Below are 18,365 nucleotides of genomic sequence, written 5' to 3' on the forward strand. Positions count from 1 at the left end.
AAATACAAATCTCAGTGGGTGGGGCCTGAACAACTGTGCTTTTTTAAAGTTCCCTAGGTGATCGTAATGTGCAGGTGGAGTTGAGAACCACTAATGAATGAGAATACAGCAGGAGGAAGGAAGTAAACTAACATTTACTGAGCCCCTACTGAATGCTCAATAGCTTAAGTGCATCATTAAGTTATTTCATTCAATTCTCACAAAAATCCTGTGAGGTATTACCCATTGTACAAATGAGGAAACTAAAAATCAGAGAGGTTAAGTAACTTGCCCAAGATCACACAGCAAGGCAGAGCTGGGACCTAAACCCAGGTATATCTAACTCCAAAGCCCATTATATTTTTACTGCATCTAACTGTGAGGAGTCATCAAGCATTATGAAAATCAAATAAAGATGAGGTTTACTTCACAAGCATTTGTACAAGTCCCAGTATGTGTCAAGCAATGGAAAGGACATCAGATTGAATAAGACTGGGTTCCTTTCCCACTCCCTAAATTCAATAACAATCTTACAATGCATAACCCCTGTTCCAAAAGAGTTCCTGCATTCTCCTCTCCTGCTCTTATTCTTGATGAATACCTCCTGCCTTCAGACAAAAGGAACATGTCTCTTAATGGCTTTCTTGCAAAATATTCCAGGTAAACACCCAGGTTTGAGAAAATTCTCCTTTAAGGAAGGGACTTACTTCCTTTCTCTCACTACACTTGCCCTCCTCCTTCAACAACCTCACAGCATCCCTCTAGCAGGATTTTAGATAAGGCCCAGCCCAGAAGGAGCAGACATCCTATATGCAGTTTCCCTCCCCACCCCACCCCACCCCCAGCATAGGCTCCAAGGAAAACACCCATTAAGGAAGATGACAAGGCTGCTTTTAAAATGGCACTTGCAGCTTCAATAGAGGGGAATACCCTAGAGATTGATTCTGCCTAAGAAGACAATGGAGTTCCCCTGGAAACAGGACACGGAGGGGAACTCCAAGCCCACCCCCAATAACTCCTAGAGCAGGAAAGGGGGCACATGAGCTAGGCTGGACAGTGACAGATTACTAAGACTCAGAGGTAGTTAAGACGTGCAGATCACAAACAACCGCAAAATCCACAATCTGGGGACTTACTGAAGATGTTTTATAGCCTTCATTACTTGGACGAATAACAAAGGGGAAAAATGCTAAAACTTGGATTTTAAAATCTGAGAAGCCACCAGGTCCTGTCAGGCCCAATTTATACCCCATTAATGATGGCAGGAACACAACTGAAGAGACGTTGAAAAAAAAATCAATTTGGCTGCTGTATTTCATTCTACATAGACTTATAGAGTTTTCAAGCCAGAAGGGACTTGGAGAGATGAGATATTAGCACCCGAGCACTGGGAACCACAGGATGGCATGCAATCTAACTGCTGTGCAGCAAATCCTGCTTAGGGAAGGAGCAGGGGGGTTAACCCCTCACCACCCGTAATACAGAGCGCAGCCAGCCCTGTTCATTCTGCCAGCTCCCTGGGCATGCCTGTCCCTGCTTCCAAGCCTTTCTGAGCTCCTCTGTCCACACTTTGGGCTCTGAGGATACTGGGAGTGGGGGATCCTCACGTTGCTCACAGACCACCAAACACTGGTAAGCACAGGAATTCTGATAAACAAAGGCTGAAGGATGCCCAAGCAATCTGCATGCAGGATGTGATGCAGAGAGCCCTAGAGAATTGTTAGGGAAGGTGCGCAAGTGTGCACTGGGGAGGCTGAGGGATGAAAACTGGGCAGGAGGCTGAGTGACAGGGGAGGTGACAGGGGACCTCCCTGGGCCCCAGGGCTGGGACGGTCTCCTACTGGGCAGAAGGAAAGAAAAAGTACAAATGAGAAGGAAGCCTGGAAATGAGGGAATTTGCCTTCTGAAAGACTCTCTCCCTGGCAACAAAACTCAGTGGAAAGAGCTTCTGACATGCCCCAAAAGATGGTCCCAAGGGCTCCTAAAACCTCTATGACTAAGCTGCATGAATATCAATTAAGCAGTGTTAATTACATACCATCAGTTCCAGTGAGACCCTCAAAGTGGGGGCAGACTTGAAACTTCTTTGGGGACTAAATTAGGCGACTCTCTGGGACTCTGCTACACGTGACAGCTGGGATGTATGGGGCAGGTAGACAGCAGTGTCGCCAAACTGCCCTCAGAGGGAAGCCCAGAGCAGGGCTGAGGTTGAGAACCCAGGTTGGGCAAGCAAGGTCTTCCTGCCCCACATCCAACTATTGGGCCAGGAGGGGACAGCCTCTGTCAAGACACGGGTGCCCAGCCTGTAGGGGGCTCTTGGGGCTGGCGGTTGGGCCTGGGCTGATACGGAGGCTGGAGAGTCTCGGGCTGCTGCCTGCTGCCCGCCCCAGCTCCAGTCTTCATCCTACAGGAGATTGCTTCCCTTTGAATAGCATCACTATCATTCCCTCACCCTGTGGCTTCCAGTGGGGTTTGGCCAGTGGGAGACACTGGTAGATGGGAGACAGGAAGAGACAGAGGTTGGGGTATTTCTTCCCACTCCTGCCCAGCCTCAGCTCCATGGTTCTGGGAGAGGCTGCTTCCCTCCAGGACCACAGACCCCACCAGGCAGGCCCTCCACCTCCCACTCAGAGAGCAGCAGTGCCTTCTCCCATCGCCACGGCAAGCCTGGGTGGTCACAGCTCCCTGCTGTTGCAAGCCCCCAGGTGATGCTCTATCCCTTGTGGATTTCCCCAAGCTCATCCATACCTTTGAGAGAAATCTCTTCATTAAAATCTCTCCAGTTAAACCCTCTGAGTTTCTCTTTCCTGCTGGGACCCTCACTGATAAAATTTATCTCTCACAAACATGTTTACACACATACAATTTCCAACTCAATTGAACGTAAACCAAGACAGCCCCTGCCTCCACCCTATTCTGCTCAGACTCCAGTGTATAACATTCATGTCACCAAGAAAGTGCATGACTCCCGATCATGCAGCAAAGATACCAATGTCCTGTGCCAGCCCTTTGGGACGTGGGATCTCAGCACTGCTGTCCCACTTAAGGGCTTCATTGGGGGCTCTCAGGGGCCATGGCCCCCCAACACCAGCCTCCTCCACATTGTAGAAAGTGGCCATCCTGGCCCCATCCACATAGGTGCCAGAGTGAGGACTGGGGGATGGAAAATTCCTAAATAAGAGTCAGGGTTTGAGGCTCCTAACCTGGGCTTTATGTGGGTTTGTGACATCCTGAAATTGAATGCAAATGTCTGTCTACACATGCCTGCATTTTCTGGGGAGAACAGCCAAGGTTTATATCAGTTTCTCAGAGGGAAGCACGTCTTCAAAAAGCTTTAAGAATCACTGGCCCTAGCTTTGAAGACAGGTCTCAAGGTTTCCCACATAAAGCAGTAAAGTGAAGTCGTTAATAGTGCAGAGTCTACGGCCAGGCCTCTGGGTTCAAATTTTGGCTCTGCTACTCCCTGGTTATGTGACCTTGGGCAAATGCCTTTACCTCTCTGTGCCTCAGTTTCCTCCTCTGTAAAATGGGAATGGCAATTTATCTACATGTTATGGGATTGTTGGAGGCCTAAATGATTTGATTTACATAATATACTTAGAAGAGAGCCTGGGACATAAAACGTGCTCTGTACGTAAGTGATCCCACACTCTGGTTCTTTCTACATCCCTAACTCTGGTTCAGCCATCCAGGAACTGTGTTCATCTCCCAAGCCTTTAAACTCAGCTTTATCTCTAAGATGCTCCCAGTCCTACCACTAACATTTCCTCTTCAGCTCCCACTCCTTTCTGCTCATCTTCCACACCTGAGAGGGTTTTCGTCCTCCATCTAAAGGGGTCTCCCGAAAGCCCTAGCTCTCAGTGGTTGCTCTCTAGATATCTTCTGTATGCGGGGTGAGACTGGAGGCAAATGCAGGGCTGGCCCTTTGCTCGAACAAACCGACTTCTCCATCAGGATCCAGGCCCTACTCTCCCTACGGGCTACCCACAACACCAGGGTCCTTAGTACCCCAGGCCTCAGTTGAAAAAAGGCCGCAGAAAACCTAAGGTTTTCTTAGAGACCTGGGGCCTAGAGAAGAAACTCACTGTGGCCACCAGCAGGGAAGGAAACAAAAGGCAGGAGGAGCCCTTGGGCATGGAAGCCACGTAGTGAAAGTAAAGGAGAGAGGTCGCCCGCTCAGCCTCTGATCATGGACTAGGATGTGGAGAGAAAGGCAGCCCAGGAAGAGGTGCCCTCTCTGTTGCTTCCAGATTTCTTTTCTTTTTTCTTTTTTTTTTGAGAGGAGTTTTGCTCTTGTTGCCCAGGCTGGAGTGCAGTGGCGCGATCTTGGCTCACTGCAACCTCTGCCTCCTGTGTTCAAGTGATTCTCCCGCCTCAGCCTCCCCAGTAGCTGGGATTACACGTGCCTGCCACCACGCCTGGCTAAGTTTTGTATTTTTAGTAGAGGCGGGGTTTGGCCATGTTGACCAGGCTGGTCTCGAACTCCTGACCTCAGGTAATCCACCCCCAACCGTCGGCCTCACAAAGTGCTGGGATTACAGGCATGAGCCACTGTGCTCAACCTGCTTCCAGATTTCTAAAATCTGGGCCCCTTCTTCCTCCTCATCACCCACCAGCTGGGAGGCAGCAACAGACAGCACAAGGACATCTCCCGGCACGTGAGTCAACTCCCCACAAATGCCCATGGCTGCAGAACATTGGGGCCCAGGGCCAGGGAGGGCCCAGGACCCTCCCAGGCCTGCCTTGTGTTGCTTACGATCTGCCTGAGACACCCCCTGAGAGGGTGTACCTCCCTGTTGCTTAAACAGAGTAAATCATTCCTTCCTCCAGATGGAGGACAGAAGGGACATGCAGGGAGTGTCTGTTGCAGAGCTGGTCTCCAATACTGATAGTAACCCTCACAGAGCCCTACTGCGTGCCACGCACTAAGTGTTATCCATAAGGTCATTCATTTAAGCTTCATAACAACCTTCCGAAGCAGAACTATTATCCCCACTTTACAGATAAGTAAATTAAGATAAGGCTCAGAGAGATTGAGAGACTTGCCCAAGGTCACACAGCTAGCAGGCGATAGGAACGGGATTCAAACCCAGGCTGGCTGGCTCCAAATCAATAAGGAGTTGATATAGTCACTATTCAGTAAGAGGCTTATGCTGTGAATGGAGGCTGGGACTAGGTCTGACAGTTTTCAGCCCTGTAGTTTCTCTACTCCCTAGCGCAGTCTCTGAACTTCTGGGATTACTGTGCCTGCTCCCTTGTTAACACTCCCTGTGGGTCTGGGTGGACCCACAGATCAGGTCATAATGTGAGTGTCCCTGACCTAACACCCTGCCCAACCTCTATCCCTCCCCTTGCAGCCCCTACGCAGAGAGAGAGAGAGGAGAGAGAGAGAGGAAGGGAGAGACAGAGAGAGAGAGAGATTGAGAGAGAGAGAGGAGGAGGAGAGAAAGAGTCCTCAACCCTCCTGTGATTTCCTTTTAAAAATGTTAACAAGTTGGGCAGCACTTTGGGAGGCAGGAGGATCGCTTGAACCTAGGAGTTCGAGACCAACCTGGGCAACATAGTGAGATCCCATCTCCACAAAAAATAAGAAAATTAGCCAGGCATGGAAGCACACGTCTGTAGTCCCAGCTACTTGGGAGGCTGAGGCAGAAGGGTCAATTGAGCCCAGGAGATTGAGGCTGCAGTGAGCCGTGATTGTGCCACTGCACTCCAGCCTGGGCGACAGAGCACGACGCTGTCTCAAAAACAAAAAAACAAACAACAACAACAAAAAGCCAAAACAACAACCAAAAAAAAAATCAAATTGACTTAGGACCTGATTTTAGAGCTGGAAGAAACCAAATCCTCTCAATTAACACATGAGAAAACAAAGGCAGAGAAGGTGGGAGGGGGGCTGTTCTGACCACGGTCACACAGCTCATTAGGAAATGGATGCTGACGGGTACCCCAGCCAGTGGGGCTCCCAGCGCTGAGTGGAGCCCTGGTTCACCCAGAAGCCTGTGGACATCCCTGCTCAGGTTTCTCCCTTCCACCCGATCCTCCTCCTCCTCCTTCTGCTTGGTATCCTGACTTCTCAACTTTGAAACACTTCCATACATCCACGATCTCATTTAACCCCCTCCAATGACCCCGTGACAATGAAATTATTATCATCTCCACTTTACCGATGAAAGAACGGAGCTCTTGGAGGCCAGAGAAGCCCTCCCAGAGGCAACCCATGGTGGGCGAGGAAGGGCCGGGACTCTCAGGAGTGAGAAAGGCAGAGCATCCCTGGTGCTCACCACAGCCCCTACCTCAGGCATGCGTGGGTGGCTCTCTGCAAGCCTGAACAATCTTCATGGCCCTGGATTTAGGCAGCTCTTGCCTTTTTACAAATTACAGCTGGATTGAGCTTCGGAGCCATCCCCCAGCTGCAAAGCCCCCAGGGGCTGTGCCGGTGGGATAGGAGGCTGGAGCTGACAGACTGCTGTCTACCTCACAAGCTGCTCACCCTTCCCCAGCCGTAGATCCCTCAATACTTTTCATATATTATTGATGGCTCCTTAATTGGGGATTCTAAAAGCCTCGCTGCAGAGCCCAGCCCTGGCCCCTCATGAATCATGTTCACTAGGATTAAAATTAGAGGCCAGAAAGCTACCTGACTCAAATAGAAACGGAAAAAGGGAATGTGCTTTCCAAGGCTGGCCCTGGGAATAGGAGCCAGGTGGGGGCGCCCAGTGGCTGGGAAGAGTGGCCTGAGATCTGGGGACAGGAAAGGAGGGCCTGGGGAGGCGGAGGAGCACGGAGGATCTGGCCATGCCAGGCCTGCACCATCTTGGGTCTGGAAAGTTCTCTCTGGTTCTGTCACTGAAGGAGTCCAGAATTCTGTGGCCACCCCTCCTCGTTGCAGTGAGGAAAACCAGGCCCAGAGAGAGATGGGGCTTGCCTAAAATTACAGGGAGTGAGCCATGACCTTGGCACCTTTCGTTTCGTAGGCCTGGTGACCTCCCAAATGGCTGCCTGTTTTGTTAAGGCTTCCAGGTAAGGCAGGGCAGAGGTGGAGACAGGGGCCCTGAGTTAGGGAAGCCCAGGCTCTAAAGGCCTCCCTGTTCTCAAGCCTGGTCAGAGAAGCCTCCCTATCTCGCCCAGAGACCAGGGTCAGGGTATGAAACTTTACCAAGCTTAGAATGAAAGACTTCCTGCCAAAAAGCTTAGTTCCTAATTAGCCATTGTTTCAGATAATCTGTTCAATCATCCCAGCTCCTCGGGGAACGGGGAACGACCCTTTACCAATGAGCCTGGCTGCCAAGCTGCCAACAAAACACTCTCCACCACCTTGTCCCCACCCCCAGCCTTCTAGCCCCGGGTCTGACTGTAGAGGGTGGGGGGCCTGAGCAGTCCCCACCCTAAAGGAAGCCAAGCATCATGGAGGGGGCCCTGGGACTTGTCCCCCAGCTCACTCCAAAACATCGATAGCTCCTGCCAAATGGCATCACGATGTCTGAAATGATACTGTCAATGGTTCCTTCCTCCAGATAAAGCATTGGTTTCTTACTTAGGGCTTCTTATAAGAAGAGCCATTATTGAGCTTTTTCTGCAGGCCAGGCACTTTACACGAATTAGCTTATTTACTCCTCACAGTAGGCTTGTGAGCCTAAGTGCTTGGCCAAGATCCCCCACCTGGGCAGGTGGTGGGCCCATTTTTAAACTTGACTTTGGAGTGCACACTTTCAACAGCTCAGCCACAACTGTAGAGTGCACCTGGACACTAACACTGAAAAGCAAATAGATCTATCAGCCACCAGGGGACCTGGCCTAGAACTCAGGGTTTATTAGAAAAGCCAACTCCTTTCTTCAAATGAAATCTCAGGCTCATGTCTAATGTATTACACAGAAATAATGAACACCTCTGCTTGAAGGAGGAAAGGGAGGCAGGGGCTACACACATATTCACGGTGGATCCTGGAGCTGCCACCCTCAAATCCTGGGGATAGAAAAGCACACTTTGGGCTGGGCGCAGTGGCTCATGACTGTAATCCCAGCACTTTGGGAGGCCGAGGTGGGCGGATCTCCTGAGCTCAGGAATTTGAGACCAGCCTGGCCAACATGGTGAAACCCCATCTCTACGAAAAATACAAAAATTAGCTGGGGGTGGTGGCATATGCCTGTAATCCTAGTTACTCGGGAGGCTGAGGCAGGAGAATTGCTTGGACCCAGGAGGTGGAGGTTGCAGTGAGCCGAGATTGTGTCACCACACTCCAGCCTGGGCGACAGAGTGAGACTCCGTCTCAAAAACAAACAAACAAGAAAAGCCCACTTTGAAAGTCAGTGGCCTGGGCAGAGGAGAAGACCAGGGACTCCGACTCGGAAAACCACATTCACATCCCAGCTCTGCCACTTCCTAGCTGTGTTGCTGGGCAAAGCCAGGATCCCTCTGAGCTCTGCTTCCTCATCTGGGTGTGGTGAGGGCCAAGGGAGATAATGGGGTGCTGCTGATGTGGAGACTGTACAGGGTAGAAGGCATATCAGTCACCCTCTTATTTAAGGAGGGGAAGGAAAGGGATAGAGCCTCTTTACAGCTTGCCTGATGGTACTGTTTAATAATAAAAAGAATATTTACAGGTCCTGAGCACAGGCAGGCACTGCTAAGTGATTCTGCCATGTGGTCCCTACCACAGTCCACTAAGCAGGCATTGGGAACCCATTTTATTGATGAAAAAAACTAAGGCTCAGAGAGAGGTTAAGGAAAGTGGCAAAGTCAGGATTCAAAGGGACATCCCAGACAGCACCTCACTGTGTCAAAGCAGGTTTTAAAGCCCTGACCCTAAGACTGTGAGTAGGTGGCCATAGACCCATCTAGTCCCTAAAGTAAAGCTTTGGTCCTGGACTGCCTAACCCTGATCACGGGGAGTCAGAGCCCTGAAAATTCAGCTGCATGACAAGAGCAAAGGCCACTAAAGGCTTTCCAAGTGACCTAAGGCTCAGGAGGGACCTCTCTTTGCAGAGGCAGACTTCTCTGCAAAAAGGAGAGAGTCCAGAAAGCCTACCCCAAGCTTGCCTTGGAGTCCACCTCTTAGAGAGGCCTGCCTTCCGCTTTGTGCCTTAGCAATGCTGATGGTCCACTCATTCCTTTGTATCTTTAGATAATGGTCTATGTGGAATGACCAAGGCCAGGTCACCAGGGATCCTAAATTGGGCTCAAGGCCAGGCAGGCAGAGGGTTATTTCTTTTCAGATTTAAACTCTTGGCATTGAACGAACTGGATCCCCTGTGTTCATGCCCACCACAGTCTTATTCCAAAACCTCCACAAGACTGCAAATTATCTTCCTGCTTCTGCCCTTTCCCCTGCAGTCCACTCTGCACACAGTGGCCAGGGCTGTCTTTCTGAAACATAAACCAGGTTGCATCACTCCCCTGCTTAAAACCCTTAAATAGGCCAGGTGTGGTGGCCCACGCCTGTAATCCCAGCATTTTGGGAGGTTTAGGAGGGAGGATCACCTGAGGTCAGGAGTTCAAGACCAGCCTGCTCAACATGGTGAAACTCTGCCTCTACTAAAAATACAAAAATTAGCCAGGCATGGTGGCGCATGCCTGTAGTCCCAGCTACTTGGGAGGGTGAGGCAGGAGAATCACTTGAACCCGGGAGGCAGAGGTTTCAGTGAGCTGAGATCGAGCCATTGCACTCCAGCCTGGGCAATGGAGCAAGACTCCATCTCAAACAAAACAAAATAAAACCCTCAAGTAGCTTAGCATCACACTTAGATCAGTATCAGAACTCTTTATATGGCCTCTGAAGCCCTACAGGATCTGAACCTGATGACCTCTGTGACCGTATTGTCCACTTTCTTAATTGTTCACACCACTCAAACTACACCAGCCTTCTTTTTGTCCTTGAAATACAGTAAGCTTGTTCCCACCTCAGGGCCTTTGCACTTGCTGTTCCCTCCACCTGCAACACCCTGCCCCCCAGAATGATGCATGGCACCACTCAAGACTCAGCTCCAGTGCCACCAAGTTTGGCTTGGTTCACAGGATCTCCAAGGGCGGCCTCTCCCACTGTGATGGAGTGCCCAGGTCAATGGTAGATTGCGGTTAATATTTCCAGGCATTTTCATAAGCATTACCTTAGTTAGTCTACCCACAAAGGTCTCTTAGCCCCTTTTTATCGATTAGTAAGCTGAGACTTGAGAAGATAAATAACTCACCTAGGTCATACAGTTAGTAAATATCAGAGCTGGTATGAAAACCCAGAGTTTTGGACATCAAGTTCAGGCCTCATCTGACAAATGCATTTGACTGTTATTCATGATGTCTTTAGGGACCAGATGGGAAAATATAGCACATAGGTGGCTGAACGGCCTACCCCAAAGGTCAATTAAAAAACTGAAGTCAATCTGGGAAAAGATCTCTAGTGGAGGAACGCAGTACTCCATCCCATTCAATTCCTTGTCACCTGTGTCGGTGAGGACTACAGCTGACCCAGGACCAAGAGGCATAACCAAGATGCTGAATGCAAGATCGTAATTCAACATGGTCTCCATAAACTGTAACAACGGACTGAATCCAACAAACGACACATGATGGCAATAAATGTGAAATCACAGATTTAGGTTCAAAAACTCATTGCCAACTCTGAGGTAGGGAAATTGGCAAAGCTATTTGGACAGCAACTCATGGAGAAAGACACAGAAGTCCCCAAACTCAGTACGAATTAAGTCAAAAACACCTGCCAAAAGATCAGTGGCATATTAGATAGTGTCGCTAGATGTGTAATCCTCAGAAGCAGACACAGAATGCAGAGGCCAGCAGGGAGGAGCGTGATGATCTAAGGCAAGCCCCTGTGTGGAGGAAGCCAGCCCATGATGCTCTGGGCTGCAGAAGGGGATGGCGGGGACACATGCTGTCCAGGAGGGTGCTCAGGTTGGTAAAGGGACAGAAAACAGTGATATGAAAAGCTTCAGTTTCCTCCTCTGTCAAATGGGGCCAATAATAATAATAATACCTCCTTCATAGGATTGTTGTGAGGATTCATTGAGTTAATGCAGGTAAAGTACTTAGAACAGTGTCTATGGCCAGGTGCGGTGGCTCACGCCTGTATTCCCAGCACTTTGGGAGGCCAAGGCAGGTGGATCACTGGAGGTCAGGAGTTCAAGACCAGCCTGAAACCAACCCCATCTCTACTAAAAATAGAAAATTAGTCGGGCGTGGTGGTGCACGCCTGTAATCCCAGCTACTCAGGAGGCTGAGGCAGGAGAATCACTTGAACCCGGGAGGTGGAGTTTGCAGTGAGCAGTGATCGTGCCATTGTACTCCAGCCTGGGCGACATAGCAAGACTCTGTCTCAAAAAAAAAAAAAAGAACAAAAAAAAAGAACAGAACAGTGTCTGCACATTGCTGTCATGTGTTTGCCATTATCATTACTGTGATTGGTGTCATCTCCCTGGGTTGAAAGTGAGCTCCTCTGGTTGTAGGCAGTGTCTGGTCCCCCTTTGCACCCCCAGCATTCATCCCCCAGCACATAGTAGGTGCCTGCTGTAGTCTGAATGTTTGTGTCCCTCTGAAATTCACGTTGAAATTCTTATTTCATTGTGATGCTATTCAGAGGTGAGGCTTTGGGGAGGTGATTAGGTCAGGAGGGCAGAGCCCTCATGAATGGGCTTAGAGTGTGTTCATCCCTCCCACCATGTGAGGACACAGCAAGATGGAACTGGCCCTCACCAGACATTGAATTTGCTGGTGCCTTGATATTGGACTTCCTGGCCTCCAGAACTGTGTAAATAAATTTCTGTTGGTTATAAGCTACCCAGTTTATGGTATTTTTGTTATAGCAACCTGAACAGACTAAGACAGTGCCCAACACATGCTCACAGAGGTTATGTGAAGACACATGTCAAGTTGCCCCGAGGAAGATCATTCAGAATATTTAGAGATGAACCATCAATTTCAGCTGCTGGTGAAAAGTTTAACAGGCTAATTCTCCTCAAAAAAGAGACTGAGTGCTTTGGCAGGGACATGTGGGTGTGGTGGCTGGGGCCAATGACTGCAGTGGTATGGGGCGATCTGCTGGACACCCTAAGATTCTGTGATTCCCATTTCTTTTCCAAGAGGCCCTCAGCCAAGACAGCTGCCTGGTGAGGGAGGGGCAGGGATCTCCATACCCACTTTTCAAATGGGAAACCTAGAGGGGTTCCCTATCATGTCCCTCTTCCCAGTGGAAGCATTTCTGGGACTCTTCCCACCTGGCCATCCTGCCTTAGTTAGTCTACCCACGAAGGTCTCTTAGCCCCATTTTATAGATTAGTAAGCTGAGACTTGAGAAGATAAATAACTCACCTAGGTCACACAGTCAGTAAATATCAGAGCTGGTCTGAAAACCCAGGGTTTTGGACATCAAGTTCAGGCCTCATCTGACAAATGCATTTGACTGGACATGCAGAAGGCCCTGGCAGGACTTGATGCAAACAGTGCTTGATTTTCTGGGCTAAAATTACATCTTGAGTCAATTTTCATGAAATGTGGTGACAGATTTAGGTGCTGGGAAGATGGAGCTTTCTCAGAAGGCATAAAAATGACCCAAATGGTTAAAACCAGCTGAAAGCCGGCAGCCAGGGGCCACGAGAGCAGATTTCATCCCTCCCAGGATTGGCTCATCTGCAGCCTCATGCAAACCCCACGTACAGAGAAAGTGCTGTGCCTGCACTTGACTTCCCCTGACCACAGGATTATTATTTCTCGGACAAGATTCTGGTAACAGAGAGGTGATTTGTTCCTGAAGGGCAATGAACTAGATGGAGGAGTGGTGGGAACTGGTTCCTGTTTACTTGCAAGGGCAGTCTTCTATCCCAGAGGCGGTTCCATAGAGACAATCTGGATTTTTCTTTAATTCTCCATTCCTGATACTTTCCTCTGTGGGTCGCACAGAGAATCGAGCAAGGAATTACAGCCCCTCTCCCGTCCCCAGTATGTTTGTTTGTTTGCTTTCGAGACAGGGTCTCATTCTGTTGCCCAGGCTGGAGAGCAGTGGCACAATCTAGGATCACTGCAACCTCTGTCTCCTGGGTTCAAGCGATTCTCCTGCCTCAGCCTCCCAAGTATCTGGGACCACAGGTGTGGGTCACCATGCCTGTCTAATTTTTAGATTTTCAGTAGGGACGGGTCTTGCCAAGTCGGCTAAGCTATCCCCAGTATGTTTAGATGCATCTTCCTTTCTCCAGAAAAAGCTGTGTGAAGGCCGGGTGCAGTGGCTCACGCCTATAATCCCAGCACTTTGGGAGGCTGAGGCGGATGGATCATCTGAAGTCAGGAGTTCAAGACCAGCCTGGCCAACATGGTGAAACCCTGTCTCTACTAAAAATACAAAATTAGCTGGGCGTGGTGGTGCATGCCTGTAATCCCAGCTACTCGGGAGGCTGAGACAGGAATATCATTTGAACCTGGGAGGCAGAGGTTGTAGTGAGCTGAGATCATGCCATTGCACTCCAGCCCGGGCAAAAAGGGTGAAACTCTACGCAAAAATAAATGAATAAATAAAGCTCTGTGAAACAGCATGTGCCCTAGGGGTGGCCCACGTGGCTGAGCTCTGCCATCTTCACTCCTGGAGTCTGGGCACGGGTCCTGCTCACCTCTCATAAATGAGGTCAGCCTCCTTGATCTCTACGGACCCTTCTGCTCTGACATTCTCACTCTACAACTCCAGCTGTCCTCAGCCTGACATCCATGAACTCCCTGTATTGACTCTTCCTGTATCTTGCCAGCCTCACATCCTGAACACCAGCCATGCTCCTCTGTCTGTGCTGGACAGCCCCCGTTGGCCCCTCTGCTTCTACACCCAGCCTTTCCCCACACTGCTCTGTGCCCAGGAAGAAAGACTGACCCAAGTTGACTGCCCCAATGGTCTGTTGGCCCTAGGTCTCCTACTGAGGTTCCACCAATGGGAGGCACCAGCAGGAGATAGGAGGACGGGAAGAGACTGAGGTTGCCTGAGTTGACTCTGTCCCTCCAGTGGGGCTCCTGGTCCTGTTTGGAAGTCCCTTGGGGTTCTAGAAACCAGGACTCCCCTTCCTCCCAAGGCCTGGAGTAGTAATGGCTCCCTCCTATTGCTACCCTTGAGACTCACCATCTTTCATTGATTTCCTTGAACCCCATCCACCCCTTTATTACATCCCTCAACAGTGCAGGATGCTACTGGGCCCCTGGGTTATGTCTTCGCACGTCACTGAAACCTGAAACCCAGCTCAACTCAGCTCCTCCACAGACTGAGGCCAGTCCTGCCCCCGTCTGTAGGATGAGGAGGTTGAGCCAGATGATCCTGAAAGTTCCTTCCAACCCATATCTCCTCTGTTCCACATCATGCACCCCAGGCAAATGGCTTGTGCTTGGGCTCAAATTCCATTTAAAAAAATCCAAATGACCTGTCAAAATGCCTTAGTTGAATGTGGCCTTCTGGCTGCGACTTTCCCTCCCCTGAACTCCCATTTTCTTCCATCCATACTTCCCTTCTCGTCGTTTCCCGTTAGGATTGTTCATCCACATGCATCTCCCCTCCCAGGCTGCAACTCTAGTTCCAATTCACACATTTGGTGATGCTCTGTTCTTTTGACCCATCTCCCTATTTTCCCCAGCGCCTGGCACTTCATAAATGCTTCCTGTTGCAAATATTAACTGAGATGGGAAGAGTGACCAGGAAGGCCCCAAACACTTTGGATGATGCTGTATAATGAATATTTACTAAGCACTGACCATGCACCAAGGCACTTTACTTCCGTCATCTCGTTTCACCCTCACCGCAGGCCTATAAGGTAGGATTTACCCTCAGACGCCAGATGTGGAAACTGAGGTGCAGAGAGGTTAAGTAACTTGCTCTAGGCCCCACCTCCAGAAAGGGCTGGAGCCAGGAGCAAGCACAGGTGTATTCCACACCAAGGCCACCTGTCTTCCCTCTACTCCACCCTGCGGCGGGTGTAGTAACAAGATGTGACTTGGACAATCAGAAACCCTCAACCAAATGAAGACAACTCTCAATTACAGAATGTAATTAATGGCTCACCAAAGAGTGCCCTTCTGAAGAGCCCTTCCACACTTTCCTTCATGAATCACGAGGACATGAACACATTCCTGGTTTTTATGAAGCACAGCCAAAAGGCCTCAAAAGTCATTAGTTCACTTAAGCAGGCTAAATGTTTCCCTAGCAATCTGGTTTATGCTTTAATTGGCATAGACTCTTGGACAGGGTGGAATAGTAAACTTTAGCCCAGCCCCTGTGGAAATATTTCTCACATTTTTTTTGTTTTTGTTTTTGTTTTTTCTGAGACAGGGTCTCGCTCTGTCAACCAGGCTGGAGTGCAGTGGCACGATCTCAGCTCACTGCAACCTCCACCTCCTGGGTTCAAGCGATTCTCCTGCCTCAGCCTCCCAAGTAGCTGGAACTACAGGCATGGGCCACACCCAGCTAATTTTTGTGTTTTTAGTAGAGATGGGGTTTCTCCATGTTGTCCAGGCTAGTCTCGAACTCGTGACCTCAAGTGATCTGCCTGCCTCTGCCTCCCACAGTGCTGGGATTACAGGCATGAGCCACGGCGTCTGGCCCCCACATGTTTCCTTTCTTTCTTTTTTTTATTTGTTTTACAGATGAACTTCCCACATGTTTCATGAATAAAATTCACCCCCTTCAACCTCTTGGTCCCACCAAGTCTGGGGACTGGGGGCAGAGGGAGACAGTTCCGGCCAGTCCACCAACGAAGAAGGGAAATTCATTAATAAAGCCTGGGTTACTGAAGTGTCACTCAGACTTGATTTCAGACTTTATTAAGTCTTTATTAAGTCTGGGAAGGCCTCCTCACCCTCAGGCTCTTGTCATTGGTCATTTTGTGCACTGTCCCCCTCCCTTCCCCTTTCCTTGGACCCTGGGGACAAGCCTGCATCCTTCTGTTCTTCATAGCTGCCTCCTACCCCTCTCTTAGTGGAGACCCCAGGCGGAGTCTCTGTCAGGAGTCCACCAGCCTCCCTCCCAGGAGTCAGTGGAGATGGGCATGGGATGAGGCTGCCAAGGCCAACAGGGCCACAGCTTCAGGCAAATCCCCTCTCCCCCCATTCTGGTGCCTCTTCTGATCACCTGGAGCAAGCGCAATCTCCAGCCAGCTCAGGCAGCCATAAAGGCCCCTGCAAGCCAGCTTCAGCTCCGCCGCTCAGCAAGCACATCCCACCTCGCACCATGGAAGAAAACAACATTCCTCCCTCGACCCCTGACCTCCTGGACTTCAACCTTGTCCTTGCTCAGCCAGACCCTCTTCTCCAAGAGAGAGGAGGGATCGCTCCTTTTGTTGTTCAAACAGGAGCTAGTGGCTCCCAGGACCGGACCCCTCATCCTGACCCAGTTCCCCTTCCCCGCTTTCCTCTTTCCACCTGAAAACATTCTCCTGTGAGGGCTCAGTGAGGGAGCGAGGAGGCAGAGGTAGCAATGTGGCAACAGCCACCATGGCCTTGGCAGCCTCTGTAGGCCCAGCTTCCTTTCCTAATCCATTCTTTTTTTTTTTTTTTTTTTTTTTTGAGATGGAGTCTCGCTCTGTCGCCCAGGCTGGAGTGCAGTGGTACGATCTCGGCTCACTGCAACCTCTGCCTCCTGGATTCAAGCAATTCTCCTGCCTCAGCCTCCCAAATAGCTGGGACTACAGGCACGCACCACCACGCCTGGCTAATTCCTAATCCATTCATTTTTTAAGCAACCATGTATTAAGCACCTACTGTGTGCTGGACTGTTCTAGGTGCTCAGAATGTAGTAGTGAATAAAGCAGATGAAAATCTCTGCCCTTGTGGAGCTGACACATGACAAACAAGGTAAATAAGTAGCCTGGCAGGGTGGCATGTGCCTGTAATCCCAGCAGTTCGGGAGGCAAAGGCAGGAGGATTGCTTGAGTCCAGGAGTTCCAGACCAGCCTGGACACATGCTGAGACCTCATATCTACAAAAGAAAAAAAAATTGTTTTTAATTAGCCAGGCTTGGTGGCATGTGCCTGCAGTCCTAAATACCCGAAGCTGAGGCCGGAGGATCGTTTGAGCCCAGGAGTTTGAAGCTGCAGTGAGTCATGATCACACCACTGCACTCCAGCCCAGGCAACAGAGGAAGACACTGTCTCAAGGAAAAAAAAAAAGTAAACCAGGGTATGGGAGATGAGAAAAAGTGATACAGAGAAAATAAAAACCAGTTAAGGGGAATAAGAAGTGTTGGAAGGTTGGAATGTTAGATAGGGTGGCCAGAGGAGGCCTCCACAGGGTGACATCTGAGTTAAAACCTTAGGGAAGCATGGAAGGGCTACTAAGCCATGTGGGAAAAGAGCATTCCATGGAAGGGCCACTAAGCCATGTGGGAAAAGAGCATTCCAGGAAAAAGGAAGAGCAGGTGAAAAGGCCTGGAGGCGGGGGCGGGCCGTGTGACTGGAGTGGAGTGGGGAGGGGCCCAGCGTCAGGAGATTAGGTCAGCAGGGAAAGGAAGTCACAAGGTGGGGGGACTGGGAGGCCATGAAGGGACGGTGCTTTTGCACGATGGGAGCCACAGGAGGGCTCTGAGCAGAAAAGAGACAGAATTTGACCCGGGTTTTAACAAGATCCCTCTGGCCGCGGGGTGAGGAATAGAGTGAGGGTGTCTAGGAGACCCCATTCACTTCACAAATGTCCCTGCCATTCTTGGAGTGGGCCCATCAAGTCAGCCCTCTCTCCCTACTCCCTGTTACAAGGGACAAAAGGCACATGGAGTGGGGGTGGGGAGGGGACTGGAAATGAGATGAGGCTGGAAAAGGGCGTCATCCTGGGTTGGGGTGGATTTTGGAAGCCAGGGTGGGTTTTGGAGCCGGGACTTGATTCAATGCAGAAGGGAGTCAACAAAGTTTTCTGAGCAGGGAAATCACCTCACTGAAGCCACGCTCACCTTAGTCAGAAGCCACGGGAAGGAAGCTTGCTGTGGATGAGGCCTGGTGCTAGAAGCTGCACTCACGCCTCCAGCCAGCAGACAAGGTCTTAACGGGCACGGACTCCTTCTGCGTCTCCCTGGGACTGGGGCTCCCTGAGAACAGGGCTATGTCTCCTCTCAGACTGGGGCTGCCTGAGGGCAGGAACCATCCCCTCCATCTTCAGTCTGTTCATGCAACAACAGGGATGGGACTTCATGCTTTGCACACCTTACTAGCCTTCAGCGGGGCTTGGATGCTGCAGTTAGAAACATGTCAGGGAAATTGCTCCCGAATTAGAGACAGACAGGCAGACAGGAACAGGCTGGTGTTTCTGGTGTGGGAAGGAGCTGCACCTACCTCCCGCCACTGCTTGTTCTCCATCCCTTGGGTATACATGACGCACACTGCGGGGGGAGGAGAAACAGTGGATTAATACCTCAGGCCAAGAGGAAGGAGGGGTC

At 50.2% G+C, this 18,365-nt stretch overlaps 1 protein-coding gene across 16 annotated transcripts in view, besides 2 other annotated features; it reads right to left on the reverse strand.

Moving 5' to 3' along the window:
• CPNE5 (copine 5) overlaps positions 1–18,365 on the reverse strand; it is a 99,224-nt gene that overhangs the window by 63,078 nt on the left and 17,781 nt on the right. For 13 of the 16 annotated variants that reach the window (XR_007059285.1, NM_001376889.1, NM_020939.2 and 10 more), the window contains one exon: positions 18,262–18,308. Coding sequence is in view for 12 of the 16 variants with exons in the window: in NM_001376889.1 (NP_001363818.1) it covers positions 18,262–18,308 (47 nt within the window). In the remaining 4 variants the exon portion in view is untranslated. Of the gene's footprint in view, positions 1–17,882; positions 18,239–18,261; positions 18,309–18,365 lie in introns of those variants that run through there. The other 3 variants (NR_164866.1, XM_047419191.1, XM_017011139.3) reach the window with 3 other exon arrangements.
• Positions 1,857–2,358: an enhancer, noted in NCBI's record as "H3K4me1 hESC enhancer chr6:36773485-36773986 (GRCh37/hg19 assembly coordinates)". NCBI's record gives its function as "activates a minimal SCP1, AML or CMV promoter by ChIP-STARR-seq in naive H9 embryonic stem cells {active_cell/tissue: H9 hESC(naive)}" and the evidence as "EXISTENCE:reporter gene assay evidence [ECO:0000049][PMID:30033119]".
• Positions 7,172–7,340: a silencer, noted in NCBI's record as "fragment chr6:36778800-36778968 (GRCh37/hg19 assembly coordinates)". NCBI's record gives its function as "represses an EF-1alpha promoter that drives an FKBP-Casp9 reporter gene in an ReSE screen in K562 erythroleukemia cells {active_cell/tissue: K562}" and the evidence as "EXISTENCE:reporter gene assay evidence [ECO:0000049][PMID:32094911]".

This window comes from Homo sapiens, chromosome 6 (genome assembly GCF_000001405.40).
Source record: "Homo sapiens chromosome 6, GRCh38.p14 Primary Assembly".
Taxonomy (NCBI): Eukaryota; Metazoa; Chordata; class Mammalia; order Primates; family Hominidae; genus Homo; species Homo sapiens.